The sequence below is a fragment of the Homo sapiens genome, chromosome 14 (assembly GCF_000001405.40).
Source record: "Homo sapiens chromosome 14, GRCh38.p14 Primary Assembly".
In the NCBI taxonomy this organism is placed as follows: Eukaryota; Metazoa; Chordata; class Mammalia; order Primates; family Hominidae; genus Homo; species Homo sapiens.
In genome coordinates, this window is record NC_000014.9 from 42,333,129 (window position 1) to 42,339,484 (window position 6,356).

The window sequence follows — 6,356 nt, forward strand, 5'->3', positions numbered from 1 at the left end:
TATTTAAAATAGCCAAATATCATTTGCAGTATGCATATGAGATATCAATTATCGCCTGATAAATTCATATAGAAAGTTTTTAAAGGCCTTTACTTTGAATGAACAATTAAACACAGGAACAATAACTGTAACCTGATATTTTTAAACAAAATCCAACATTTTGCTTAACTAAGTGCCTAGTTTTATTTTTGTCATGGATCCTTATTTTTTTAGGATTTGATAAAAGACAGTTTATTGACCAGAGAAATGTAATCTTTAGCTTTTCAGATCTTTGAATGTGTCTCTGCCTTAGTTTGTGTTCCTCCTGAAACAGACTGTGAGAAAACATTCCGGAAACAAGTTGTTTATTGATGAACACTGGTAGAGGATTGGGACGATGAGAAGGACAGAGAAGAAAGGCAACAAAAGATGTATTCCCAAGCAAATTTATACTGTTGGTACCTGGAACTTAACCCCTCTTTGGAAATCAGTGAGTCATTATAGAATATATGCCTCAGAGTTATTTTGTATGAGGTGTGAGGTTCAGGTCTATTCCCAGGGCACCTATTTCCCAGGCATTTACAATCTGGCATGTGGGAGCAGAGTAGGTTCTCGTCAACAGAGGGCCCTCAGGCAGAGTCTCAGATGCTGAAGGCAAAGTGGGGCTGCAGCTAGAGAAATATTCTGTGCTCCGTGGATGTAGATAGGGTGCTTGCTAACACAATCTCCTGAATATTATCCTCAGTTTGACATATGTATCTCAGAATACTTTTGTTCGTATGTGTTGTCTTGAAGATCAACTGAGGTCACAAAGCCTAAGAAAGTATCTTGACTGATGCTTGCATTTGTTAAAACAAACTAAATATGGCCTGAGAAGGACTCCATACTTTTATATTTGAGTCCTTGTGGAGGAACTGCAACCAGCTTAATAGGTAGACAAGATTGAAAACCTAATATGGGAGTATGCACCTGTAACAATAACTAAGTCTTGGCCAATCCCATTGGCCAGACTTCAACAATTCATACACCGCTGAGTGTTCAAACTCCATTCCAATAAGGCAAATGCCGAGCTGTAACCAATACAGCCATTCTGTACCTCACTTCTGATTTCTGTATGTCATTTCACTTGTTTTGTCTATAAATCTTCCTCTACCACGTGGCTGCACTGGAGTCTCTGTGAATCTGCTGTGATTCTGCGGCCTGCCCAATGCGCCAGTGGTTCCATTACTCAGTTAAACTCCTTTAAATTTAATTCAGCTGAAGTTTTTATTTTATCAAGTTTAAATCAGTATAAGTTGAACATTGATGAGACACAGAGGTAAATGTCTCTCTTCCATGAATAGAAAACCGTAGATAACTCTTTTGAGCATAATCTTTTGAGCTTAATGTATGCCGATTTTCCCAAATTCATGTAATCGGAATACAGGCACTGTGAAGTTATTTCTTAGTAGTTTATTCTATGTGTTATACTTATAAACTGCTGTACATTTTAAACTACATCATTTTTCCAAACTCTTTATTGCAGTACTTTTTAAAAAATTTTACATATTCCAGGTAATAATTGTTTTCAGAAAAGCAAATGGTAAGCTCGTCACAAGACTATTAATGTTAACATTTATTTGAAAGATCAGATGTAAGTGCATATATTATTTTCTTGGTTTAGACGCCCCCACAGTTTCTACTAGGTCTCACTCAAAGAAATGTTTCTTTAACATTAGTGTCATTACACTGCACTGCTTTGAATACAAAGAGACAGAAAAAGAACATTTCATAGAAGCTCTGGTTCTAAAGCACCTTCAGAATTCTCCTCAGAGACCCTACTAATTTTCCCCAAATTAGTGATATGAATCCCAAGAGGGCACCTTATATGTGCTCCAAAATCTCATTTAAGGTCTTCTAGAAAGCATTTCCATGTTCCTCCTCTGCAACACTTTAGGTTCTGTCTCTTTTCATTCACAGTTCAAAACTGGTCAGTTATTAGATTAATAACTAATGACAATTCCAGAACTGCTGATCATGCTTTTCTATAGTCTCGTAGTACTGTTGATCGACTATGTCATGGACTCTGATGTTTATACTGTCTCCTTTTGCTGATACCATTTGTTGACATTTTGAATCTATGCTGTTCAATATAATAGTGACTAGCCAGCCACAATTGAATATTGAGCATGTGCTACTGTAACTGAAGTGCTAATCTTTAAAATTTAATTTTTAAACTAATCATTGAGTTACTGAATAATTTTTAAGTATGTTTGGAACAACTTGATTATATGAGTCTACTTTTTCAATTATACATGTTAAAAAAATCCAAATACAGATCAAGTATTTTCAAAGAAACATTTGATTTGAGAAGTAGTTTAAGTGTAAAATACAGATCAAATTTCAAAATATTTTTCTTTTACTTTTTACTATGGCTACTAGAAAATTTAAAATTATAAGTGACACCAGCATTATGATTCTACTGGACAGTGCTCTTTTGCATTCTAAAATCTCTCACACCCTTTTTAGCTTACTTTCTTAGTAATGTTCTGTTGGGGAAATATAATTAAAAACAAAATCTTTTGCTAACAGAGAAAATCACTCCACAAATAAAAGAGAAGTTTGTGTTTTAATTAATTCAATAGGTATTAAATCAGCATGTGATGCACAACACAGGCAATCTGCTAAAGAATTTGCAAAAATAGAAAGACATCTCATTCGTTCATATAGTCAAAAAATCACCTCTTCATCATATGTGTTCTCAAACGATAACTAGTACACAAGTAAGAGAAATTGATAGCAAAATTTGTCAAACATAGCTCATCCTAAATTCACCTGGTAGTTGGGATAGCCACCTATTTTTGCTAATTGTCTTTATCTAAAGGAAAAATAAATTTCTGATATTTCTGTAATGGAAGGTAGATTACCAACTTGGAGCAAGGCACCAGCTCAAGGTAGAATCTTACCCTCCCAGGGAGGCTTGAAGATGGAGGCATTGTCTTTCTTGATGATTGCATTTCAAAGAGCTGGTTCCCAGGTCTTTGATGAAAAGATTCCTGGATTGTAAACCTGGCAGGAGGCCTACTTAGCTTTTAAATAGATTTACATACATCTCAAAGGGGCAGAGAAAGCATTTACAATTACAGGTTTTCCAAAATAAATGTTTTAAGAAAAGGAATGAAAGAAGGATATATCTTTCCCGTCTAGGAAAATTCAATATTTTTTTTTCAGATGTGCATCTACTCTTATAGTTTTTATATTCATATATGTATGATAACAGTAATATATTAGTACCCATATACTGTAAAACAATTTTAAAAATAGAAATATGTAATAATAAATTAGAATGTTTATTCTAATAAACATTCTTCTTTTCCTTCATTCCCAACACCTCACCTAGCATAGCTAATCACTTGTTTTCCCAAAGGTTAAGAATCTATTGTATGTTTATTTTTCTCCTTTTAATATTGTAGAGAATATTTCTTCCTTTTGGTCTGCCCTCTTTTTTGGTGAGTAAACTTCGTTCATTCCAAATTTTATTTATTTATTTATTTATTTTCAGTCAATCGGTTCCATTCTCCAGAGATAGTACAAAATTCAAGCTATAGCAGAGTTTTGTTTTTTGTTTGTTTGCTTGTTTCCCCAGGATTCATATGAATGCCTGGGGGAAATTATACTTCATTTTTGAGATTACAAGCTCTAAGGACAGGTTGACCTATAATTGAGGACGTCAATTTTGTCACTTGTTGGAGAACTTACCTAAGAATGGAACCAATTGAGAGGAAACCAGAGCCGAGATGAAGAGAGAAAATGAGAGATCAGTGCTTTATAGTTTGAGACCTTGAGATGCAGCAATGCCTGGAGTCAGACTCCATTGTGTATTTCTTAGTTAAGGGTCTTAACATACTCCACTTTTTGCTTTAGCTTGTTTGGGTTGGAATTTTGTTATTTTCAAGCAAAGATTTTCAGATTTTATGTCTCTGTATATATGGAAAAATAAATTTCTCATATTTCTATAATAAAAGGTAGATTATTAACTTGGAGCATATTATATATATATAAAAAACCTGGAAATCTTTGCTTGAAAATAACAAAATTCCATATATATGGATCTCTATATATACATTATATATCTATATTGATATATATATAGTATATACATAGTATATATCAATATATGTATATTGATATATATTTCCAAAATAAAAACAAAGAAAAATAACTATATGAGTAATATAAATACATGTAAACATAATATTGAGGGAATTCTATGTTCCCTCCATAGTATAGACATAGACATTCCTCCCATTAAGATATAGCGTTTACTTCCTCTCTCTCTCTTGAATCTGAGAGGGCTTTGTGGCTGCTTTAGCCAAGATAATATAGAGGAAATGAAGTTGTTGCTTGTTTCTGGGCCTATGCCTTGGTGGAGTGCGCCTTAGCTTTCCAGAGAGACAAAACTAATAGGCTATAGATAGATATACATATATCGATTCACACACACACACATCTTCCAGAAACACTCTCACAGACATACCCAGAAATAATGCTTTACCAGCTATCCAGGTATTCTTTAATCCAGAAAAGTTGTTACCTAAATTAACTATCACAGAGCTACTTTAGATCGTTGACAACAAAATTAACCCATATTTCTTTAGTCCTTGCTTTGTGCTACACATTGTATTATGGGCTCTAAAATTTTAATCTTATCCTGTAGCAGACAAAACCTCTCAGACACTGAGTTAAAGAAGGAAGGGCTTTATTCGGCCAGGAGCTTCAGCAAGACTCATGTCTCCAACAACCGAGCTCCCTGAGTGAGCAATTCCTGTCCCTTTTAAGGGCTCACAACTCTAAGGGGGTCTGCGTGAGAGGGTCATGATCCATTGAGCAAGCAGGGAGTACGTGACTGGGTGCTGCGTGCACCAGTAATTAGAATGGAACAGAACAGGACAGGGATCTTCACAGTGCTTTTCTTATGCAAATAACTGATTAGATCAGGGGTCAGTCTTTAACTACCAGGCCCAGGGTGTGGCGCCGGGCTGTCTGCTTGTGGATTTCATTTCTGCCTTTTAGTTTTTACTTCTTCTTTCTTTGGAGGCAGAAATTGAGCATAAGACAATATGAGGGGCGGTATTCTCCCTTATTCCCCCGCTTTGAGAATCTCACTCAATAGTGGGAGTTCTCACTTTCATTCTTGCTACCCAAGTCTTCTTGCAAGGCAGATCGATAGTGATTCATATAGTACACTCGTGCTGAAGCATTTTGGTGAACTAAGGTAGCGATGAAGCTTTTTATCATTTGAAGGGAGCAGTAAGCAGGTTCCTATTACTATTATAACTTCTATTTTAAGAGTTTTAAATCCTCCTAGCACTGGGAACCATTTTCCAAACATGGCCCCAGGATCAAATCCGTGCCACACTTGCAAGGGCAAATGTGCCAGTTTTGTCATATCTCTAACTATGTCTTCAACTACTTGTCCTTGATCATCTATTTGTAGACAGCAATTAGTATGGTTAAATTTCCCACAGACCCCTCCTTCAGCTGCTAGCAAGTAGTCGAGAGCCAATCTATTTTGATGGATAGCATTTCTCATCTGAGTTTCTTGCTGGGCCAGAATAGTCAAGGCTCTGCTGGTTTTATTAGTGATTATTTCTAAGATAGCTTATAACCGTATGATTCAGTTGATCATGTAAATGGGGATCCGGTATCCCCACGAGCCATCTTGTGCCCAAGTAGCAGGCCCATAATATTGTATGCTTCTCTCAGGGGGCCATTCATGATCTGTCCAGTTCCCTATAGCTATACTTCTCTTTTCACAGGAAGCATAGACAGGGAAGCCCAGGATTTCGCCTGTCTTTACGGGCAGTAGGAAGAAAGATGGTTTAATAGTGCCAGTAACACAACTACCTGCCCACTGGTCAAGTAATTTGGCATAAGCTCTATGCCCACAGTATAATCCAGTGGGGGCTGTCCAGTCCCGGTGGGACTCCGGGTGGGTCCACACAATTTGCAACTTTGGGAATTTACTAAATGGATTTTTCTTAGTGTGATTTGAACTCCACTAGGTGGCTGCAAATTTGTGGTACTATTATGCAGTTTTTGCTCAAGGCAGCTGAGTCTTCCCACAGGAAGGGTGAAGTCCTTCCCCATTCTTGCTATACAGTATTGTCTAATGATTGAGGCGTTTAGGACACAGAAGTTATCAGGGTGATTCTTTTGAGCTGGGAATTCATCAGGAACTGGGTCTGTAGGTACTAATTCTCATGCTTCTCATGGCCATTGATCTCTCATTACAGTTCCTTGAATTAGAAAACATATATTCTTAGGAAAAGCATTCTAGATCAAATTTTATTTGCCTTTTGGCAGGGAACGAAGGCAAACTTTGTAATTTCTATTCA

The 6,356-nt window shown here is 36.3% G+C and overlaps 1 annotated feature.

Moving 5' to 3' along the window:
- Nucleotides 2,520–3,245: an enhancer, noted in NCBI's record as "OCT4-NANOG hESC enhancer chr14:42804851-42805576 (GRCh37/hg19 assembly coordinates)". NCBI's record gives its function as "activates a minimal SCP1, AML or CMV promoter by ChIP-STARR-seq in naive and primed H9 embryonic stem cells {active_cell/tissue: H9 hESC(naive and primed)}" and the evidence as "EXISTENCE:reporter gene assay evidence [ECO:0000049][PMID:30033119]".